General features: G+C 51.5%; 1 protein-coding gene and 1 long non-coding RNA gene across 10 annotated transcripts in view, besides 1 other annotated feature; one reads left to right on the top strand and one right to left on the bottom strand.

Moving 5' to 3' along the window:
- SYNPO (synaptopodin) overlaps positions 1-23,655 on the top strand; it is a 73,198-nt gene that overhangs the window by 7,377 nt on the left and 42,166 nt on the right. For 2 of the 9 annotated variants that reach the window (XM_017009008.2, NM_001166208.2), the window contains exon 1: positions 7,690-7,802. The exons of 1 other annotated variant lie outside the window; for it this stretch is intronic. The gene's annotated coding sequence lies outside the window, so the exon portion shown is untranslated. Of the gene's footprint in view, positions 1-7,689; positions 7,803-8,442; positions 8,609-20,522; positions 20,678-21,405; positions 21,508-23,655 lie in introns of those variants that run through there. 6 more of the 9 variants (XM_047416685.1, XM_047416686.1, XM_047416688.1 and 3 more) reach the window with 6 other exon arrangements.
- LOC124901108 (uncharacterized) lies at positions 14,428-23,446 on the bottom strand. The gene is made up of 3 exons (XR_007058996.1): positions 21,594-23,446; positions 21,172-21,325; positions 14,428-15,129 (listed from the first exon to the last, which is right to left on the bottom strand). It is a non-coding gene; the product is annotated as an uncharacterized LOC124901108 (long non-coding RNA).
- Positions 22,743-22,930: a silencer, noted in NCBI's record as "fragment chr5:149995691-149995878 (GRCh37/hg19 assembly coordinates)". NCBI's record gives its function as "represses an EF-1alpha promoter that drives an FKBP-Casp9 reporter gene in an ReSE screen in HepG2 liver carcinoma cells {active_cell/tissue: HepG2}" and the evidence as "EXISTENCE:reporter gene assay evidence [ECO:0000049][PMID:32094911]".

The following is a 23,655-nucleotide window of genomic DNA, read 5'->3' on the forward strand; positions in this document are numbered from 1 at the left end:
TGCAGCTTCAGGCAACACTCCTTTCCCTTCTGAGCCTTGGCTCTATTTTATATATTCCAGAAGTGGCTTGGCCTATTTCTTTTTATTTTTTTTGAGACAGGGTCTTGCTCTGTCTTCCAGGCTGGAGTGCAGTGATATGATCTCCGTTCACTGCAACCTCTGCCTCCCACACTCAAACCATCCTCTCACCTCCGCCTCCCAAGTACCTGAGACTACAGGCGTTCACCACCACACTGGCTAATTTTTGTGTTTTTGTAGAGATGGGGTTTTGCCTCACTGCCCAGGCTGGTCTTGAACTTCTGGGCTCAAGTAGTCCCCCTACTTGGGCCTCCCAAAGTTCTGGGATTACAGGCATGAGCCACCACGCCCGGGGTGTGGCCTATTTCTAACAATAAAAACATTTGTGTCTGTTCTGGTTGGCCAGTGCTGGCTGGAACTGTGATAAGAATTCAGAGGCGGTGTCTGGGTTTGGTGGGTAAATGGGCAGTGTGTGGTCAGTAGAATGGCAGTTTGAGAGCTATGTAGGTAACAGTCATGGAAGACTTAGGGGGCTGCCAGCTCTGGCAGTGCTTGGTTCTGGAATAATAAAGCCCCACAAAGTGAGGTGATAATGAAGTCAGACATGGGGCAGGGGGTGTCCCTGCTGGGTGGAGGGGCTTACCCTGCACGGCTGTGCTGACCCTGGCGCTGTCCTTCTTCAGCCTGCAGACGTGTGTTAGCTCCCACCCTGCCATCCAGATGGCCAGAGGACAGAGGCGCTCTGTGGAATCCTGTGTGTGGGCCAGGACTTGCGGCTTGAGGGTGGCGTGGAAGGCGGCAGGGGAGTCTGGCCAAGTGGGGCTGGGGCAGTGGAGATGGGGCTTCTCTGCCAGGGGGAAGATCTTTAGGGAACAAAAACTTGGGTCAGAGCTGGGGCTTGGCTGCTACACAAAGGGGCTTTCTCCCCATCCCTGCCTTGCAGAGCCAGGAGGCTGGAAGAGGGGAAAACCCAGACTCTGAGTAGCTCAGAGGGGTCAGAGCAAATCCTCAAGCTGGGCAGGATCCCTAAAAAGCAACCAGTCTTCCCCACAACCTACCAACAGGCCTTCCTGACAGATGGCTACAGAAATGGGTCCCTCCACCTGCCCCTGGATCTGCTGCCATCTCACTGTGTGGCCTTTGTCAAATTCCTTCCCCTCTCCCTGGGCCTCAGTTTCCCCAACTGTAAGAAGAAGGAATTGCACAGATGGTCACTAAAAGCTCTCCCGGGCCTCACATTTGCAGACTACAAGTTCTCTCATCATCATCAAGTCTTTCAGTTCACGGAGCACTTTCTTATTTACCACTTAGTTTATCCCTCAACAACCTGGGGAGGTGGGCGTGGTGAACATTATCCCCAGTTTTTTTCGGATGATAAAACTGAGGCTCAGAGATGGGGAAAGTCCTTCCAAGTTTGCACAGCAAGGTAATGGTCGAGCAGGACTCTTGCCGTTCTGTCCAGACCTCCATCAACTGCCCCAGAAGTTTGCAAGGGGCTTCAGTGGGGCCTGGATGCTGTGGAAGGAGGTCAGAGGCCTGAGAAGAGCAGATGTGGAGGATGAGGGAGATGGGATGAAGCAGGCATGATTGCTTCACTTGTCTGTTATTTTATATGGATTTCCATGTAGGAAATATTTTGAGGAAAAAAATATTTATGCCTAAAAAATTGGAAGACCCCGTGCTGTTGCAAGACTTCTCAGGTGGAAGCTGAGGCGGACCCTCTTCTGAGCTGCACAGACTCTGGGTTGGGTAGCTTTACCTGGGGATTAAGCAAGAACTTCATGTATCTAATGGAAATGAAGGGGATTTGCACATCTTAGATCGTAGACATTTAGCATGCGATGGCATTTGGGAAGAGGTTGGAAAAGTTCAAAACACATAGAATCACCAAGTATGAAAATGTCAGCACTGTGAGATGCTAATGCTGGAAGGATCTTCAGAAACCATCTTGTTCCTCCACCCTTCCCTGTTCTTCCCTGAAGGGAAACAGAGGCCCAGCGAGGAGAAGAACTTGGCTCAGGTCTCACAGCATCAGGAGCAACAGGACTACAAGTTGGGTCTCCACACTTGGCTGACAGTTTCGGCATAGGCCACTCTCTGGGTAGGCATTAGGAGTCAGGGGACAGGGGAGAGAGAAGAAAAGGAGGGATCTAGGGGCCTGGGGACAGGCAGACAAGAGGTATGTAAGGCCCAGCCACTCGCTGATAAGAGACCCACAATGTCATTCCAAAGGGCTATTTTATCAAGATGTAATTTTCTCCGCTGCAGACACTATTTTCTTTCTCGTGCAGACTGTGCTGGCCTTCGCGATAAGGCGCCTAGACATGTTCACACTAAGGCAGCCAAAACATGAGGCAGGAGGAAAAAAATTCCCTTCTTAATCTCCCCCCACCCCAGCCCACTCCCCCCTCATTTCCTCTCATTCTCTCCAAGTTCTCATGCCCCCCACCCCCCCAGCTGGCTGGCCCCTTCCTGCCTTCCCGTAAGTCGGCCCAACGGAGCCAGGAAGGTATGTGGCCCAGCGGCTCTTCTCAAAGGAGAGAAGCATGGAGGGGCCTCCCCTGGGAAAAGAGGCCCGGGCCACAGGCTCTCCCATGACCCTGCAAGGGCAGGTGGGTTGGGGGGAGGTCTTGTTTACAGGCTTGCCCCTAGAATCTTCTCTCCTCTGTCCCCACAATCTCTGCAAATAAAACACAGCTCTCTATAGTTTGGGGGTTTAAGCTGGAGGTGATGAGAGCCTCCCCCAACCACAGATTCTCTGCTTCCTGACCCCTACTCCTGACCTCCAAATCCAGGGCTTGATAGAGATTCCTGGGGGAGGGGGTCACCCTGCCTACTTTCCCCTAAACACCCCCAGAGAAGAGATCTGGCCAGATAGGAGACCTGGAATTCTGATCCCGCAAATCCAGCAGTCACTGTGGGACTAGTCCCTTTTGCTCTCTAGGCTCTCTAGGCCTCAGTTTTCCTATCTGCTCACTAAGAAGGCTGGACTCAGATATCCTGGCCTTGAAATTCTACATCTGGCTTTTTCAGAAGACGACGTTCGATCCCAGGCCTCCTAGGTACTTGGCGAGTTGACGGACGGCCCCCATGTATCAGTGCCCCGCCCCTGCTCTGCTCAGGAAGTCCACCCCGCCCTCCACATCTGGATGGAATTTACCCCCCAAGGCAACTCAATTACCAGTGATCTGATCAGGACGGCTCATGTGTCAGAGGGGGCCCTGGTGAAGGTTGCTCTGCCAGAGATGAAGGTTCCTGGGCCAGTGATCTACCCCTCCCACAGCCCAGGGTACCTTCTTGAGGTCCCTGGGTCCCAGAATGGGTCTGGTGAGCAGTGTCTCCTGCTGAGCAAGGGTAGGGGACCCAGAAGAGGCTGCCATCTCCTGCACGGGCTCAGATCCCCCATGCAAAGACCCAAGTCAGGGCAAGGAGGCTAGAAGGTAAGGGAAGATAGTGTATGCATTTCACACCCACGGGCCCCATCATGTACCCAACCATTAGAGTTTGCAAGGGCTGGAAAGCCTCATGACTTCTGTCCACATTCTGGATTCTAGAAGGGGAACCTAGATGGTAGGACTGGCACCTGCTTGCAGGGCTGTGATAGTGAGGGTTGGGGACCTAGTGCTGTGTCTCAATAAACCTCCCTTGGGAAATCAAGACAATCCTGCTGTCTTCCTGTGGCTTCTGCTAAGTTGGCTAGTGGGGGACAGTGGGCTTTGGAGCTTCCTGTTTCTTCAAGTCTCCATTTAACGCCTCTTACTCTGAGCCCATGCTCAAGGACTGTTTTCTTAGACATTGCACCTCTCGGCTGTGTCCCATCCCTCACCATCAACATACACAGGAGGCTCAGTGAGCCCAGGAGTTCTGGGACATAGTGTGCTGTGCTGATTGAGTGTCCACACTAAATTTGGTTTTGTTGTTTTGTTTTGTTTTGTTTTGTTTTTGAGACAGAGTTTTGCTCTTGTTGCCCATGCTGGAGTGCAATGGTGCAATCTCGGCTCACCGCAACCTCTGCCTCCCAGGTTCAAGCGATTCTCCTGCCTCAGCCCCTGGAGTAGCTGGGATTACAGGCACGCGTCACCACGCCTGGCTAATTTTTTTATATTTTTAGTAGAGACAAGGTTTCTCCATGTTGGTCAGGCTGGTCTGGAACTCCCAACCTCAGGTGATCCACCCACCTCGGCCTCCCAAAGAGCTGGGATTACAGTTGTGAGCCACTGTGCCCAGCCAGGTTTTTCTGGTTTTTGTTTTTGAGACAGAGTCTCGCTGTGTCACCCAGGCTGGAGTGCAGTGGCATGATCTTTGCTTACTGCAACCTGCGCTTCCCGGGTTCAAGTGATTCTCCTGCCTCAGCCTCCTGAGTAGCTGGCACTACAGGCGCATGCCACCACCCTGGCTAATTTTTGTATTTTTAGTAGAGACAGGGTTTCACCATCTTGCTCAGGTTGGTCTTGAACTCCTGACCTCAAGTGATCGGCCCACCTCAGCCTCCCAAAATGCTGGGATTACAGGCATGAGCCACCGCACCCAGACCACACTAAATTTGGCATGAATATAATGACTTCCTGGGGGTAGGAAACCACCCGGTTACCTAAGGAGGGACAAACTTCCCTGTATCAGAAACAGAGTGGGTCAAAACCCTCACACTCCTCAGTAGTGGGATCTTGCCTGTGAATACCCACTGCCCTCGCAACACATCGTGGTCACGGGTAGGGCTCGCCAGACCGAGGAAGCAGTGTCCCCCGCCCACAGAGAAACACACACTACCTCCTTCCATCTGAGAGTTTAACCAGGACCTCTCTGGCATCCAGCGCAGCAAATGTTCACGAATGCCAATTCAGAACAAGCACGGTGCTCAGCCCTGCTGCAGGGGGAAAGAAAAGACTGAGGCTGAGTCTCACTCCTCCAGGGGCTCATCCTGTCACCAGGGACAGAAAATGCTGCCCCTAGAGCCAGTCTGTGCTGCCGTGAAGGGCATAGGCTGGAGGTAGCAGGTTATACTCGTAGGACACACTTAAATACCCGCACTGCCACGGACAGGCTGGGGGGCTTTCAGCAAACAGTTCGGCCTCCCTACCAGCTTTCTGGGGTTGTCAGGAATGCGTGTATGGTGCATGTGAAACGCTTAGTACAGTGCCCGGCACAGAGGAAGTGCTCCATTAATGGCGGTTTTCTTATTATTTTATGAGATAATTAGTATCCAGATAAGTATCCAGATATAGTATCCAGATAAGTATCCCAGTACCTGGGAAACTTGCTATTGCAGAGCCCAGCCCAGAACTCCTACGAAACCCCCTTTCTAAAGAGGCCTCTGAACTGTTACCAACAGAGAGTTCCATGTGCAGAGACAACACAACTCATGGACTTTCCACATCAGCAAGCTGATGGTGGCGGTGGAAGGCAGGGGCCGCTGATGGTGGTGGGGAGGGAGGGGTCCCCAGAGGCCTGAAGGTGCAGGCTGACATGGTGGGGGGTCTGGCTTGGGAAGGAGGGGGAGGTTGAGGTGGGGCCAGGTTCACAGGGGCCTTGAATCAATCCCCTCTAGCCCCTCATATGGCCGGGGGACCTGCTGTCGGTTTATTGCAAGGGTGACGACAAGGACACGGAAGCGCTTGTTCAGGAAGCTGATTCTGGGGCCGGATGCAGGTTACACCGAGGGCCACCCATGGGCAAGGAGGCCTGTCAGGGCCTGTTGCAACCCAGACAGGATTTAATGCCAGGATCCATTCTCAACACAAAATTCCAGACAGGGAAATCACCATGTACCGGGCGAAGCCCCTCTCACATCCTTTAATATCACGTGATGCTCACAGTTGAGTGAAACGACGATCTCTGCTTCACAGGTAAAGAACCAGGTCCTTAGAGAAGGGACCCCACACACTTGCTAGTGGCATGGTGAGGCCAAGAACCCGGGAAGCAAGCTTCTGCATCAGTGCCCCCTTTTTCATGGATGGTTTGGGGGTGCTCTTCCTGGCAGGGGCCAGGAAAGTGACTGTTATTGGCTGTAGAGACACCCAGTGGTATGCGGTGCTGAGTAGTCTTGGGACCAATGCTGGGGCCAAGTACTGAGTGAGCCCCAGGAGGGTGACCCGCACTGGCTCTGGAGTCAGGGAATCCTGGTTGGAGGCCCAGCCCCCTTACCACCAGTGTGGCCTAGGGAGACATCTAAACCTCTCTGAGCCTCAGTTGCCCTAAAGTGAGGATGACTGTGGTACCTACTGCAAAGTGTATCGGAGAAGAGTCCCTGAGAAGACATCTGCGAAGACAGAGGCTCTTTCTGTACTGTGAGCCTGGGGGTCGGCGGTGGGGGCTTGTCTTACAGTAACTACTGCAGTGCCAGTGCTGGGCACAGGCTTGATTGTAGCAGGGACTCAATCAATATCATCATAATAAAGTGTTTGCATTTATCATGGGCACTTAGTAAGTGTCAAGCACTGTGTTAACTGCTTAACTAAATGGATGGTTAGGCAGTTGATGAGAAGGGATTGAATTCTAACAGGAGAGGGGAACTGAGGCCACCTCCGGAGAATGAATAGACATGAGTGGGGAAACTGCACAGACCCCAACCGAGGGACCCTGCCTGGAGGGAGCTGGGAACAGCTTGCCGGCAAAACCTTGCCAGCAAACACAAGCTCAGAAGAGCCGGGGTCGATTTTCTGTCCTGCCATCATTTTGCTGCGTGACTTTGGCCAAACCTCAGACCTCTCTGGGCCTCTGCTTTTGTTCCTAGAGAACAGATGGAGGGCGAGAGGGGACTTGGGAGCTGAACTGTAAAGGAGGGAGGCTCCTGCACCTGAGGCTTCCAGGTCTGTTGGGATCTGCCGGCCTGAAGGGGATTTCCTGGGGCCAGCCCCATTCCCAGCCCTGCTGACGTCACCCCTGGATGGGTGCCCAGAGTTGGAGGGGATGCCCAGAGCAGCACTCCAGTGGGAAAGGCAGGCGGGCACTCTCCCAGCCCACACAACAGCCCTCCCTCTGGGGCTCTGGGGTCTCCCCAGCCCATCCCCCAGGCAGGGAAGTGGGGATCCCTCCTGTTGAAAGAAGAAGGCACAGCCCCTTGGCCCAAATCCGGATTTGCTGTGTGACCTGAGGCAAGTCCCTGCCCCTTTCTGAGCCTTGGCTCCCCATCTCTGCAATGAGGATAGCAGAGATCCCAAGCTCTTCTGGAACTCTTAACACTCAGGGATCTGGCTGGGGGGTTAAGGGATCCGGGAAAGGGAAATGGGGCAGGGGGCTGGATTCCAGGGGCTTGCTTCCCACAATAGCACAGAAGGTATAGCGGGTGGTGGGAAGTGCTGTGGGATAAAGGGAGCCCCGAGTCCTCCAAGTGGCTCCAGGAAGGGGCAAAGCCAGCCTAAGGTTTTGGAAACATATTTATTTTTAAGTGTCCTGTGTCGCTGGGGGCTTTTTCTTCAGGTTTTGAAATGCTACAGAAGTCAGTACTCTGATGTGTGTGTTTGTCAAGCAGAATATGGGCTGTATTTATTCATCCTTTAGCCCAAGCCCTTAAAAATATAGACGGCTAATGTCTTCAGTATGTATGAAATATCCCATATGCTCGGAAACAAAAGGGGCTCTGTTATTAAAGTTTCATTTCCACACGCCCCCTCCCCTCCCTCCCGCCCGCCCCCCTGACACCCTGCCCTCCTCCCATCCCGCTCAGCCTGCTCCAGACAGAGCGCGAGTGAGGAGCAGGCGGGCAGGCGGCGGGCAGCCGGGCAGCCGTGGACAGAGGCCCGGGCACAGCCAGTTGCTGTGCCAGAGGGTGTGGTGTCCGGCTACAGGTGAGGGGGCGACCACAGGGAAAGAGAACAGGGCCTTCCAGGGGAGAGGGGGCCTCGGGGTCCCTGGGATGGCCAGTGGAGGAGTGGGGGTGGAGGTGGCCCTTCTTGCGGGTGCCTGTAGGGCCAGGGCCCTGGCAGGGCCTGGCTGTCTGGGACGGAAATGCCAGCTCTCCTGTTAACTGAAACCACATGTGTCTCCCAGGCAGCGGGGCAGAGACGCCGCCAAGCCTGGGGCTTGGGGCTGGGGGAGAAAAGATGCAGCTGGCCCCACCATGTGCCCCAGGGTGGGTGAGGGGCTGTGCAGGAGGGCTCGGGGTCATTTGCATCCGTACAAGTGAGAGTGTGTCAGAGTGTGAGTGAATGAGTTCTGTGCGTGTGCTTGTTGTATGAATGAGCGTGTGTGCACACGCGAGAGCCTGTCTGCAGGTCGGTGGGGTATTCCTGCTTGCAGGGCTGAAGTGGCCTCCTGTGGCCTAAGTCCTGGGCACACTCCTACCTGTCACCCAGAGCTTGGGAGCCTGCTGGCTGCCCCCTGGGAGGGTCCTCTGGGGTGAGAGGACACTCACCTGAGTAGGGGGTGGTCCTCACTGTGCAGAGACTCCCTTGTGACCACCATCCTCCTTCATTCCTTTTCTTTCAGCCCAGCTCAGTCTTCTGGCACCTGCACAACCTCTGCCCATTTCCCTGGGGGAAAAGCTGATAAGTAGAGCAAGGAGGTGATAACAATCTCGGCTCCCACATCTGTTTTCATCTTTTTCAGAGCAGTCACCTCCAGGAGCTCGGCATCACCACTGTAGCCCTGGCAGGTGAGAAAACCTAGCCTGAGTGAGGGACAGCTTCCTTATGGCCATCGGGGAGACAGTGGTGGGCCATCCAGACTCATCGGGGGCACAGAGGACACTGGGATGTGGGCTCAGCCTTGGTGCGAGGCTGGAGTCCACACTTTCAGGTTCTGTGGCAAATGGGGCTCCCAGAGGGCCTAGGTGACCTGAGTCCTGGATCATCTCTCCTTAAGGAATGAGCCTTACTGGGCGCCAGGCTCTGGGTTCTGGTGGTGGCCCTGCCACTGCCTTGCTACGGATGTTGGACACGTCTCCTCCTGTCTCCGGGCCTGTTTCCCTATCCCCACAATGGCAGAGTTGGGCCAGGATAGTGTTTTCCAAAGTCTGGTGTGTGCACCTCTGGCAGCCCATGAGACGGTGCCATGTAGACTGCCAATTTTCATTGTAACAAGGAGTGTGTGTTGTTTTTACCTACATTAGGGAAAGGTGTCTAAATAGCATATCAAGCCAGCGGGTAGTTGGAAATAAAGGAATAATGGACCCAAATGAATAAAAGCCGGGGATCAGGAGAAGATCCTTGTGTTCTGTCCCTTTTGGCAATGGGCTGTCATTACGCTTCCAGCATTTTATTTGTTTATTTATTTTTATTTGTTTATTTTATTTTTTTAGAGACAGAGTCTCGCTCTGTCACCCAGGCTGGAGTCTAGTAGCATGATCATAACTCTTCCAGCTGTTTTTTCTTTTATTTTTTGTAGAGACAGGGTCTCACTATGTTGCTCAGGCTGGTCTCAAACACCTGGCCACAAGCGATCCTTCCCTCATGGCTTCCCAGCGCGCTGGGATTACAGACATGAGCCACCACGTGTAGCCGCTTTCATCATTTTAAATGTTCCTAAGAGCGTTGGTTTTGACTGTCTAGGGCCTGAAGGTGTGATCTGCTATGTAGGCCATCTTTTGGCCCCCACAAACTAGCAACCGCCCTGTAATTCTGTGATTACAGAGTGGAAAGCCCAGTTGCCACCTTAGGGTGTGTGTGTGTGTGTGTGTGTGTGTGTGTGTGTGTGTGTGTGTGGTGTATGCTGTGAGTGCTATGTGGGAAGGGGCAGGGGATGGAATGCGCAGAGCTGGGGAAAAGATCAGCCATCCTGAGTAAAAGCTGGATGCCCAAGGTCACAGGCAAGGAGTTTGGGAAAGAGATTGTCCCCTGACTGACATTTTCAAGTGCTTTGTCCGGCCTCAGCCTGGCTTTGAATCACCAGGATGGGTGGGTAGGCGAGAGGCCACCCTGGCCTTGGCCTTTCCTGCCATTCAGCTCTGGCTCCCAGGCCACTTGGCTGCGTTTTATCTGCCAGCCCAGGACTAGCCAGGGAGAGGTGCACTGGGAGGGTGCAAGGGTTCTGGGGGGGCCCCTTGGCAAAGCTCCCCAGTCACTTCTCCAGGCAAAGCTGGTCAGAGCTGGCATCTTTCAGGACATACTCCCTCACCCTCCTCCCTTTCTGCTAGATTTGCTGTTGCCGTTAGTGTTACTTGTGACCACAGTTGCTTATATGTGGATATTCATTGGTGATTTGTCTCATCACCAGCTCTTTAGGGTAGCCTGACCCTGCTCTGCTGCAGGAAATGCAGCTCTCGGGACCATTCTTTCTTGTCTTGTCCTGCAACAGGCAAAGGGTACCAAGCTTTGGCTCCAGGATGTGGACAGCATCCTTGGGTAGGGACGAATTCACAGTCCCTTCTTGGTGAGGCAGAGATGCAGAGGAAGGAGCACAGGGCTGGGTCCACCTGATCCCTGACCCTGACATGCAGTGTGACCCTAGGCAAGCTCCTTGCCCTCTCTGGCCCACCTCTCCTCTGGCCCCAGGAGGCATTGTCCTTGATGAGGCTAAAGCGATTCTCTAGTGCTGCCCTAGGATGAAACAAAATGCTATTTCCAGGAGACTCTTGTTCTTATGGAAGGGTGCCTTTCCTAGGGGGAAGAACCTTGTGAGTTTTGGAGTTGGGCTTCCTGGAGATGGGCATATGGAGTCATCCACAGTCCTTGGGCCTGGATTCCCTTGAATCCTGTTTCAAACCCTGGGGAAGCTGCTGGCCATGATCAGGGGCATAGCCTCTGCCTGCAGAACATGCCACATTCTAACTGACCTTCAGTGGCCTTGTGGGTCCTGCTGAACCACTAGCAGCTATACCCAAGGCCAAGGGCAAACAGAGATCTGCTTCATGCTGTCCTGGCATGGGCACGGTTATAGAGAGATCTGCCTGACCAGGGAGCGGGAGGTGGCACTGCTATGTGGGGAGGATGAGCGCTTAAAGAGCAACTGCGTCCCAAAGAAACATTCTCATTTAAAAGCAAAACTGTTCCCATAACTGTGGTCTGCTTAAGTAAGCCACCCTGTTGGGCTAAGGAATGGGGTGCAGATGGAGGCTGAAGATTCTAGAACTTATTCACCGACAGTGATGCCCTGGGTTCTTGACTTCCTTAGATTTTACTTTGATTTCTTTTTCCTGGGTTTGGTAGGGGCAGTGTGTGGAAGTGGCAACAATGCAGTTTATCTATGGAGTCACATCCATATCTACCGGTGGCAATGTTAACTTTAGGCGAGGAAAAACTGAAGGTAGCTGCTGGGTGAGGCAAAAAGAAAAAGAAGAGAAACTAGGTGACCCCGTGCTCTGCTCCTGTAGTAGCCGTGGGAGCTCACCAGGCGACTGCGTCTCAACTCCACCTTCCTGACCTGTAAAATGGATTGTCGTGAAAATTCACGAGGTGGCGGCACAGAAGCCCTGGCACACACTGCGGCTGGCACTGAACAAATTGTAGCTCAAAGGTATCAGGCCTGCTGATAGCTCTGCTGGCTTAAGGAGGGGGTGTGATTGTCATTTTACAGAGGGGAGAATGCGGAAGCAAATGATATGCCCTAAGATGAGAGAAGAGCACCAACTCTTCTGCAGGCCTGGGTTCCAGTCCCATCCCCGCTCCCCATGGCTCCATAACTTCAAGCAGATTACTTAATCCCACCACGTCTGTGTTTCCTCATCTGTAAAGTGGGCAGGAATAGCACCTACCTCACAAGGCAGTTATGCGGATGAAATGAGCCAACCCTAAGCTCCTGGCACATAGTAGGTGCTCAATGAACACTCCTCTAGCTGAATGGAAACCCAGAGGCCTTTGCTCCTCAAATTGCTCCCCTCTGATAGTCCCTGCAGTTCCAAGTTGGGACCACGGCCTTTGTGAGTAGTGAGGTTGGACGGTCAGAGGCCCTGAGCCCCAGGTGGGGCTCTCCCTGAGGCTGGTCTCAAATCTTGCCATAAACACTACCAAAAGCACTTCTTGGAATGTTCTCCCTGAGTCTCCCAGGTTGGCGGGTGGTCAGGACTAGCACTCTTCCTTGTCACTGATAGCAGGGATGGTATGATGGTTCATACCTGAAGGATATTTAAAGAGATGAGGAAACTCAGAAAATTGAGGCTCAGATAGGGAAGGGGCCTCTGTGGGATCAATGTGGCAACAAGGCAGGGATGGAGGGGTGGGGGCAAGAAGGTAGGAAATCTTATGGGGAGAGGGGAAGGGGAGGCCCTTGGTACTTACCCGGACAGGGCCTCCTTCCCAGCTTCACTGGAGCAGGAATGGGTTAAAGGGGACCGGAAAGGAGAGGAAGAAAGCAAACAGAGTCAGGAGAAAAGCCTGGAGCTGCAAGCTCACTGGGGTTGTTTGGTCTGGCTGGACCACCTCCTGGGCCACTCCCAGCAGCTCTGCAGACAGACTCCAACCACCCCCACCACACACACACACATACACACACACACACACACACACACAGATATGCACACACTGATACACAGAGACACGTACAGACACACACATAAATATAGGCACAAACGCACGACAGTCACACAGACACACAAATACACACAGACAGATATACATAGACACACACAGATGCATACATACGTACCCAGAGACACATATACATCACACTTACACACTGTTACAAAGATACACACAAAGAAACACAATTACACAGATTACACACAGACACATATATACAAAATGCCACATAGAAACACGTACAGACACACAGATACACGCCCAGACACGTACATGTGCACACATACACACACGTGGATATCATGCAGATATCATGCAGATATCCACATAAACACAAGATTCACATACAAACATACACAATGAATACATATACACACAGACAGACATAGACACAGACACGCACACAGACACACAGCAGAAGAAGCTCCAAGCTGGAGGACAGATGCTGGGATGGCGTGTTTCTGTAGCTACTTCTGGTTCAACCTGCTCCCCTCTGCCCCAACAACTTACACAGTCTCAACCCCCTCACTGCAGTAATACCTACTGTATACTGGGCACTGCCACTGTCAGGCTCTGTTCTAAGCTCTTATATTGTTTCATCCTCACAACCACCCAGTGAGGTGGGCACTGTGATTATTCTTGATTTGTACATGGAGAAGAGGGGAAGTCACTTGCCCAAGGCCACACAGTTCGTTTTTGGCTTCTCCAAGGCAGGCTGCCTGTGTGCAGAGCCGGCTGCCGAACCATGCTGCCACACTGTCCCAGAGCACTGGGCTCTTGCTCTGCGCCGGGCATGGGGACCAGCACTTTCACCTCCAATATTGCCATGCCCTGTGGAGCAGCAACATGATTTTGCCTTTTCTCAGGTCCAGGGAGGGAAAGTGACCTGCCCACAGTCACAAGGGTTGGAAGGAACAGGGCTGAACGTCTGAGTGTGTGCTGAGCCAAGGCTTCAGTGAGGAGGAGAGGCAGGTGACAGGGGCTGGCCAACCGAGCAAATCTACAGTTAGGCTGAGCGCCCCTCAGCCGCCTCTTTCAGTGTCTTCCTTTCCTTGACCTGCCCCCAACTCCTGAGCCTGTACTTCTATCCTCCAGCCCTTCCCTGTCCAGTATCTGACGCCCTCACACTTGTTCTTCATCCAGCCTCAACAACTGTGTCCTGAATGGATTTAATAGTAGCCTTGGATAACTGTTGACAAAACATATTTCCCTTCCATTATTTTATTTCATCCTACATTGGGGGGAGGGGGAGGGGGTTATTATCTTTTGATAGACTTGAGTCTGGGCTCCAGTCCTTACTGAGAGTCCTTGTCAGCATGATGCCAAACTAACTTAAATACGTGTCAGGTCCTCCATTGGGCTCAAAATGCCAACTGCCTAGGTACAGGATGTGGGAGATATGGCATAAAAGTAGCAGTTATTTAGTGACGTCTTTGTGGGCCATAAGCGTAATAGGAACATAGCTGTCGAAAGAAAAAAAAAGCAAATCTGATGTTAGGCTGCATTAATAAAGGTAGAATGTCCAGAGTGAAGGAGGTTATGGTCTTACAATGCTCTGTGCTGGTCTGGGTTTCCTGTAATATTGGGGTCAGTTTATTTCTACTGAGGAGTTTCTCATTCTCTGCTTGTTTACCACAAGTGACACGGAGCTCAGTACCTATTGAGGCACGTAATAACCCAAGGAATCACTTAGCCCAATGCCAAGGGGTGCCAGGATAGCTGATCTTTATTGAAGACTTTCTTTGCCAAGCACATTTAAATGAGAGGTAGGTACTATTATTATTCTAGTTTTACAGATGAAGAAACTGAGGAACAGAGGGTGATATAACTTGACCCAGGTCTCACAGCTGGTACGTGGCAGAATGCAGTGCTGGAGTATGGCAGTGGAGACCAGCCCTCCTGACTGCAATGCCAGCACTGTCCCCTGAAACGTAATGCGAGCACAGATGTAATATTACATTATCTAGCAGGTACACTAAAAAGTTAAAAAAAAAAAGGTGGAAAAAAGAAGCCCATGAAATCAATTTTAATAATGCATTTATTTAAACTCCAAATAGCGTCATGTTAACATGTAATAAATGTAAGAAAAAAACTTGTTAATGAGAAATTTTACATTCTTTTTTTGGTACTAAGTCTTGGAAATCTGGTGTCTATTCTTTATTTACAGCACATCTCAATGTGGGCTAGCCACATTTCAAGTGCTCAGTAGTGCATGTGGCTAGTGGCCGCCATGTTGGACGGCACAGTGCTATACTATATTTCCTTTCGAGGCACTCGCTGTGGTATAGCCTAGTGTGTAGGAAGAATCCATAAATGTCAGCCACTAGTATAATTATTTTTATCACTGGTTGTTGTTGGTGGTGGTCCAGGAAGAAGCTGGACTGAGGCCCCAAGCCCTTGGCATAAACTGTGCACTGATGTCACTCTTCTTAATCCAAGTCCTTCAACCCAGGAGCTTGATGTCTCACAGGCAGAGCCACCTTCATGAACCTTTGGCCCATGGACCCAAAAGGGCCAGCATGACTTTCTAGGAGAGGAAGAGAGGCCAGCCAGAAGCCCCTCCATCTTCCTGGCTGGCCAGCTGGGTACCACATGAAGTGAAGCTTCCTTGGGACCTATAAGCCTGTGGCCCATCTGCTCTGGAGTGTGAGGCAGCCGGGCCCACATCTGCAAAGGAGAGGGTAAGAGCCTCTCCTCCCATGGTTTCTTTAGGCTGGTTAGGCTTTTAAACAGAAAAAACAAATGAATAAAACCCACTATTTTTAATACATTTTTTTTTTCCTGAAACCCCAGGAGTTAAACAATGGAGCAGTGATGTGGGGTCTGCACTTTCCCCATCCCTGTATGATCTCTGGGCATCTACATAGTGCTTGCAAAGAGTGAGGGTTCCCAAACCTACCTGCGCATAGGAACAACCTGCGAAGCTTCAAAATACGCTGATCCCAGGTCCTACCCCCAGAAGCTGTGATTTAATTTGTCTGGGGTGTGGCCAGAGCTTTGGAATGTATAAAAGATCCTCAGGTGATTCTGATGAGGTGGACAAGTTTGGGAATTGCCATGCTAACCCTTAGGGGCACCAGCTCCGGTAGCCCTCACAGTTGCTATGATGCAGGCGTGGTTAGGGTTCCCACTCCACAGATGAAAGATTGGAGGCTCACAGAAGTAAAGTAACCGGGGCAAGTTCAGACAGTCAGGAAATGGGTATGATAGGGATTCACTAGTCATGGTTTTAACCAGCGGTGTGTGGATAAATGTCTAACAACTTGCTCTCTGGAGAAAAAAAAGCTTTGATTTGTAGCACCTGCCAGTTTCTGTGGTGTAACTACTCCCACCGTGGCCCATTTTAAGCCATTGACAATGTCCCTGAATGCAGAGCTGGGAAAGGGTGCATTGGCTGTTGAGACAGTGTGGCTGGCTTCAGCACACAGCTGGGCCACTTGGCATGGAGAAGAAGGGATCCCATTTGGTAGGCATGGTTAAGCATTTTCTATTTTTATTTTTAATTTTTTTAATTTTTTGAGATGGAGTTTCACTCTTGTCGCCCAGGCTGGAGTGCAATGGCTCTATCTCGGCTCACTGCAACCTCCACCTGCCGGGTTCAAGCAATTCTCCTGCCTCAGCCTCCCGAGTAGCTGGGATTACAGGCATGCACCACCACGCCCAGCTAATTTTTGTATTTTTAGTAGAAATGGGGTTTCACCATGTTGGCCAGGCTGGTCTCGAACTCCTGACCTCAGGTGATCTGCCCACCTCGCCCTCCCAAAATGCTGGGATTATCGGCGTGAGCCATCATGCCTGGCTGGTTAGGCATTTTCTGAATTTTTAGTCCTTGAACCCTTTCTGCAATGCAATATTTGGGAGCCCCAATGTATGCAACAGATAAAAAGCAGTATGTTATCAGCATAAGTTTACTATAGAAACCGAAATCATAGTATCCGTCTCAGTCTCTTGTTTAAACTGGGGGACAGGGTGAGGGGGCACTGTGAATGTGGCGGGGGGGGGCAGTGTGGAGCAGTCTCAGAGCCAGGGCCCTGTGTGCCAGCCCTCTCCCCATCTGCTGACTGCGTAGCCTTGGGCAAGTCCCTCCCCATCTGAGCCCCCATTTTCTGGTGTGGCCAAGGGAGACTGGACTTTGTGCAGAGTGGCCTCTGCCCTGCCACACCCCTGCCTGACCTCAGCCAGTCTCAGCCCCGTATTTATAGCCATGACTTCAGTCTCCCCAGTTCCTCTGAAGCTGGTTCCCTGGCCCATGTATTTATAAACCCAGCAGGGCAGAAATAGATGTGACGTACTGGGGACTTGGCTGGTTCTGTGAGCAGGCTGGCTTCAGTGAGTCCACTTGGAACAGGCTTGAGTGCCCCAGCATCCTGGGTGCTGAGTTCCACAGGCAGTCTAAAGCTGGAAGAGCATTTTGAGACCCCAGGCCCAGGCTTGTCATTGTGCAGGGAGGTCACCAAAGCCCAAGAGTGGAGGCATGTGGCCACAGTCACAGGCACGGCAGAGCCAGAGCCAGAACAAAGGACTCTGTGCTGTGTGAAATGGCCTCTCCCCAGACCCTCAGAAAACCTCCAGTGACCACGCCAGGCCACAGACACCGGTCAGGTTCCAGCTTGGTCATTTTCCTGCTCTGGGATCATGGGCACAGACTCACCCTCTGTGAGCCTCTGCTTCCTCAATCTGTTAACTGAGGGATAACAGTAGGTGCCTGCCTCATAATGTTATTGTGAGGAAGAAACAAGAAACAAGATTGATACAGTGCCCAGCACATGCTCAATATTCAATACGTGGTAGCTCTTGTAATGCCCTCAGTCACCACTTCACAAAAACAATAATTATAATAACAACAGCTGTTTCTATTGAGCATGTACACAGGTTACCTTATTTAATCCTCACAGCAATATGATATCATTATTATTGTCCTCAAACTCATTGCATATCATGTGTTTTACAGTGAGGAGATGCTCTACCAATAACGAACTTGGAAAAGAATGTTCCAAAAAAAGAATGCTAACATATGAAATCTTATTTTTTATATACAAGATTACAAAAAATACTCATTTCTAAATAGTAGACATATTCAGAATGGAATAGGAAGGTTCTAAAATGGTGAACAATTGAATAATCAGAATATTAGCCTAAGAAATATGTCTCCCAAGGGTTTGTAGGGCTTATGTTTCTAAGTTTGTCACCTAATGTTGGTTTGTGTTTTTTTTATAATTGCATATGAGGATTTAACATAATAGTGAACTTGAAATGCATATGCTATACAAAACACGGAATGGCATCTGTTAAGATTTGTTATGTTCATAGCAGTTTCTTTATCTTAATGACACGTAGCACTCCCAGGCCGCCTTTCTGGCTTATTTTTCCATCGTATTTAACACCATCTGACATACTTTCTTATTTATTTATCTGTCCACCCCAGCTAACATGTGAGCTTCACGTGGGCAGAGTTTCTTTCTCTTTTGTTCACTGTGTACTGCCAGCACTTAAAATAGTGATGGCACTTAGCAGGCGTTCTGTGAATATGCATTGAGTGAACAAATGAGTAAATGAATGACTGAGTCTCCATTCTACCAGGAGGGCACCTGAAATTCAGTAAGATGCAGGGACTCATCTGAAGTTACCCACTATTCTGAGGCTGAACTGAAGCCTTATCTCTCCTGAGACCACCCAGTGTGCCCAGCTGGAAGTTCTTCCCAACCTCTCACCACTACCTCGTGCCAAGGGCTGGTTTCCTATGGCTCCTGGGGCTCCCCCCAGCTCCACCTCATGCCCATCCAACACTGGTCCCTTCTGCCCCAGGAGGTGGGCAGAAATGGAGGGAGGACTAGGGAGGAAGGAGAAGGGGTCAGAGTAGGCTGGGCGGTTGGGATGGTTGATACTGATGGCCGCTGAGGAAGGGAGGAAGGATGCCAAGATTGGTCAGTCTGTCCTGAAGGACTAGAAGAAGGGATCGGGACCGTGGGATCATGGTGGACATCCCTCTGGGACTGACTACCCCAACTGGAAAACACTGGAAATGGGCAAGGCCAAGGAGAATTCAGGTGTAGCAGCAACCTTGCTGCTACCGCTCCCACTAACCACTTTGCTCAAGGCCTTTCTCAGCTGGAGAAACTGAGGCCTGGTAAAAGAAAGTGATTCTTCCAAGAATGCAGAGCAAGGTAATGGAAAATGCTGGGGTTTCTCATGCTTACTAGCTCTGGAGGTTGGAAGGGCTTGGAATTCCCCGCCTTTGGAGCCATGAGGAAGAAACCCCCAACCTTGGATCTCATCCCCTCTTTGGGAGAGAAACACTAAGGCAGGAACATAGGTCAGGTTCGCAAGGACAACAAAAGCTTTCTTCCTGTTGTCAGGGAGAACTTAGCTCTGGATAGACCAGACAGTTCCCCTACCCTAGACTGGTGCTGAGGGTGCTTCCAGACAGGAATCTGGTGGGCAGGTGCACCTGAGCCATCTGAACCCGTTCAGAGTCACCTTTTCCTCAGGATGCCTCCGTTTTGCTCCTAGGTTACACCTACAGTCAATCTCCTGGCCACCCCACATGTATTGTTTCATTTGATATATATTACGCATCTACAATATGCCAGGCAATGTACCAGACATCAGAGAGAAGCTCCTTCCTCCCTCCCATCCTTCCATTTCCCATTCCTCTCTTTCATTCGTTCATCTTTTCATTCTTTCGCTCAGCAACTACTTATACCATTGAGAAAGTACAGCCTTATGGATAAGAGTGACATTTGGAGCTAGACCATCAGGATGTGAACCTTGACTCAATCGCTCACTAGCTGTGTGAGCTTGGCAAGTCATCGCAGCTCCATTTCCTTATCTGCACAATGGGGATAATAATAGCACCTTCCTTATAGGGTGTGATGAGGATCAAATGAGCTGCTGCAAATGAAGTGTCTGAATAGCACCTGACAGAGTAAACACTCCATATACATCAGCTATTATCATTGTTACTGGTTTTGTGTTTTGTTCTTCTTTTCTTTTTTCTTTTTTCTGAGACAGGGTCTCACTCTGTCACCCAGGCTGGAGTGCAGTGGCACAATCATGGCTCACTGCAGCCTTGACCTCCTGGGCTCAAGCACTCCTCCAGCTCAGCCTTTCAAGTAGCTGGGAGTACAGGTGTGTGCCACAATGCCTGGCTAATATTTAATGTTTTGTAGAGACGGGGGTCTCACTATGTTGCTCAGGCTGGTCTCAAACTCCTGGGCTCAGGTGATCATCTCACCTTTGCCTCCCAAAGTGCTGAGATTACAGGCATGAGCCACTGGTCCTGGCCTGTTGCTTTATGTGCCTGGACCTGTGCCAGCTGCTGAAGAAATTGCTCCAAAATTCTCCTCTTGCTGGGACCTCTGCCTGCCAGCCAGCCCTTTTTTCAGTCCCATGCCTGCTGGTCTGGCCATGTTGCCTCCAACCCAAACCTACAGAGCTGGGCCTTGCAGTCATTTCCCCCAACCGTGTAGGGCTGCCCACCCCCCTACTTTGTCTCTCCAGCCAGCAGGAGAGAGCCTAGGCAACCAAAGGCTGTCACAAACTGGCCATCTTCTCAGCCCTTCCATACATGCCCTAACCTCAGCCTATCCAAGCCCGCCTCGTTCTTCAGAGTCATCCCCAGTGGTCCTGCCTTCTTGCCTTCACTGGGCCTTGATGGATGATCTTTACCCCAGGAAACCTTTCCTCACTCCCCTCAGCCAAGAATCATAAGATTTGGCTTTGAGCCTGCATTTGCAGTGTTGCTTTATCTGTGAGCAATGAGGAGCCATGGAATGCTCTTGAGCAGGTGAGCAACACAGTCAGAGCCACACTCTAGGACAATGGATCAGACTTTCTATAGGATGGAAACAGGAAGAGACAGCAGGTGGGGAGGTCAGGTAGAGAGCCATGGGCAGTGGGGCCTTTGGAGGAATGAGGGTCTAGTCTTCCTGGGCTGCTTCTCCCTTCTCCGCCCTATAGCCTTCCACCTATAAAATTAGATCTTGTGATTTCCCCAGCCTGACTCAGTGAGGCAATGGAAGAGTCGAAACAAGGACCCCATGCCCTGACTTCTGCAATGCACCTACTTAAGCCCTAATGCTCAGCACCCCTCACTCCCTTTCCCTTCTTCTACAGCTTACAAGGGAGGCTCTTTTGACCCATGGGGACCCTGCAGATGATGGGGAATCAGAAGGAGGCTGGACTGTGCCTTATAATCATTGCAGTCTGTGCACACCAAGCACTTGGGGCCCCGAATGCCAGGCTCACCAAGCGTCTGTAGAGCCCAGCAGGTGAGCAGCACACAGCAATGCTTCCTCATTCCCCACTGGGTGAAGGAATAAGCCTATATTTTCTCTATTAATCCCTACAAACACCCTGGGAAGTGGATCGTGTTTTAAGCCTTGTTTTGCAGGCAGTAAAAGTGAAGCTCAGAAAGATAAGAGACATGTCCAGGGTCAGGCAGCCACTGGGTGAGAATTCCAACCCAGACCTGATGCCAAAGCCAGTGCCCTTCCCCCACCACACACACAGCAGCAGAAGGGATGCCAGGGCCCCAAGGCCATTGCAGAAGCCAACAGTTGGAGCCCTGGGGTGTCTTGGCCGGCCCTCAGACTGTGGAGCACCTGACGCTCAGCCGGTCCTCTGGTCCTGGGGGCCCCTGCTTGGACTCATGCAGAGGTGAAGGGGAGGGAGAAGGGGAGGCTGACCCCTCAGAGGGAGCAGGGCTTATGTGAGGAGCTAGAGTCTAAGGGTCTGGGTACCTGCGTTCCAGTGCAGCGCCTACCTCTGGCTTGCCATACAACTGCAGGTAAATCCTTCCCCTCTGGGTTCAGAGTTCTCCTCTCTGAGATGAGGACAGCGTGTTCTGTGGACTCTATCAGCCATTTCTGCCAAGGCTCAAGTATTTTAGAGCTTGTGTCCAGATGAGGGTCATGAATCTGGGGGAAATGGAATTAGAAGTTGGTAGGACTCCCTCCCATGTCTGTGGAGTCTGCAGCAGGTGCTCTCCTACCCACAGAGGAGATCCGCCCTCATGGATGGGTTGGCCATCTGAGCGATGGCTGAGTCCAGCAACCCCAGGAGCTGTGGGGGTCCCTGGAGTCTGCAGCTGCTGAGAGCAGTGAGTACAAGCACAGACCTTGGCTGCCTCCATTCACATCCTGCTTTGCCATTTCCCACCCGTGTGACTCTGAACACAGTACTTACCTCTCCGTGCCTCAGTTTCCTCCTGTATAGACTGCACTGACACAGCAGGAGTGTCAGGTAAAGGGCTGGGTTCAGCACCTAGCAGGTGCTCAGTTAGTGGCAGCTGCTATTATTGTTTCGGGTCCCGACCCCCACAGCTCCTGCACAGAGGTGGGTGCTGTGGGGCTCAGGCTTGCATAGGGCCTGCCCAAGCTCCCCGACTGGGTTGGGAGTCCTCCTTCCTCCTTGGGAGGGAACCTTGAATTGGAGTGCTCCTGCCAACTCCTCCCTCCTGGCTTGGCAGCGTGAAGACAACGCCGGCCAAAAATATTTGTGTGGGTGGCGGAAAGTTAACTTTTCCGCCTCTCTCTTCTTTCCTGGAAACCGTGGCCACCGTCAAATACATCAAAACAGAAGCAGGGATAGAGTGAGGCGAGGCCCCTGCGGGGAGTCAGAGGAGCCCTGCCCCCTCCCCACGCCCACTCCTTCTGCCTCCGGCCATCTGGCTCTACGGTGGGGGGATGACGGAGGTGGGTATCCAAGTGCTTAGAATCAGGGGATCCTGCAATGCCACAGTTGGACGGATCCTCCAGCATCATCTGGCTCAGTCTCACCATGGTGTCCTCCGGGAATCTGACTACAGAGTGCGAAAAGCACCTGCCCCAGTTCACAGTCCTGTCTCTTCTGAGTGCTGCTGGCCTTTGTGAGATTCTAAGATTCTTTGAAACTCAAATGGCAGAAATCTGGCAGCAGCTGGTGAGTGAGAAAGCACCTGGAGATGAATGAGGGCCTGGAGCCTCTCCTCCATGTCTCTGAATCCACCATCATGGTCAAGGTGTCAGAGCTAGGTTGGAATCCCAGCCTGGCCACTTATTAGCTGTGTGCCTTAGGCAAGAAGTCACTTCACCTATCTGAGCCTCAATTTCCTCACCTCTGAAATGGGATAATAATAAGGTAATTCTCTCATAGGGTTGATGTGAGAAATTACGGCAATAACCTAAGTGAATGACCCAAGATAGAAGAGGTGCTTCTGTTCTTCCCCGGGGGGCAGAAGGTGGGCTTCTTTCTCCTGATTTCCCTGCCACTGAGGCTGCTATAACAGGTGCCTGGTTATCTTTCTGATCCGGATGGTTGTTTGCCTTTCCCCTGGTTGGCTCTGATTTTCCCTGGGGCTTGGTAATGCGCTTATCTCTCTGCCTGCCTGCCAGACTCTCCTGGCACAGTCCCAGCCAGAAACCAAGACCTTGACCCAGCCTGCTGCAGTGGGAGGTGCCTGACCCCTGCTTGGGGGCGGAGGCGTGACCACAGCAGCTGAGGTCAGTCCAGGTCCTCAGGTCACTCATGTCCACAGACTCTCACAATTTTCAGGATTCTCACTGCTCCCCATTTTGCAGTAGGATAAGTGAGAGTAAGAGAGTTCACACTTGCCTGAGTTCACACAGCTAAGTAGCAGCGGAATCCAGTCTTTAAGCAAGATCCCTTGATTCTAGGGTTTCCTCCCAAGTGTAATTGGCCATCTGCTCTGTCTTACGCACTACCTGCCCATCCTGGGCATCTCACCCATCTCCACCCTTTGCCTCCACAAATGATTTCTAGATATTTGTCCCCAGCCTGGAATTCTCCCCTGTTCTCTAGACCCCTATGTGGAACCGCCCACTGCTCATCTCCCCTGGAAATCCAAAACCTAACTCATCTCCCTGCTCCACTAAACAGCTGCTCCTTCTCATTTATTCCTGATCTCTATTAACAAAATCTCTGTCACCAGAGCTAGGAACCTGGGCTGCATCCTAGGCTCCTCCCTCTTCTCCACACCCACTCTCCATCTGCCTCCAAGCCCAGCCAGTTCTTCCACCCAAGTATCTCTCCCATCTACCCCCTCCTCACCACCCCTTACAGAAAGCCTCCATTCCCTCTTGCTTGGATTATCATCATTCTTAACATTTATATAAATAATCATACAATGATTATTGTTGTTCCTGCTATCATTCACAGCTCTCCTCACCACATTTTAAGGCTTCTTTATCCCTCTGCTATATCCCCAGTACTTTTTATGATGTCTGAAAAATAATAGGATCCTAAGAAA

This window comes from Homo sapiens, chromosome 5 (assembly GCF_000001405.40).
Source record: "Homo sapiens chromosome 5, GRCh38.p14 Primary Assembly".
Lineage (NCBI taxonomy): Eukaryota > Metazoa > Chordata > Mammalia > Primates > Hominidae > Homo > Homo sapiens.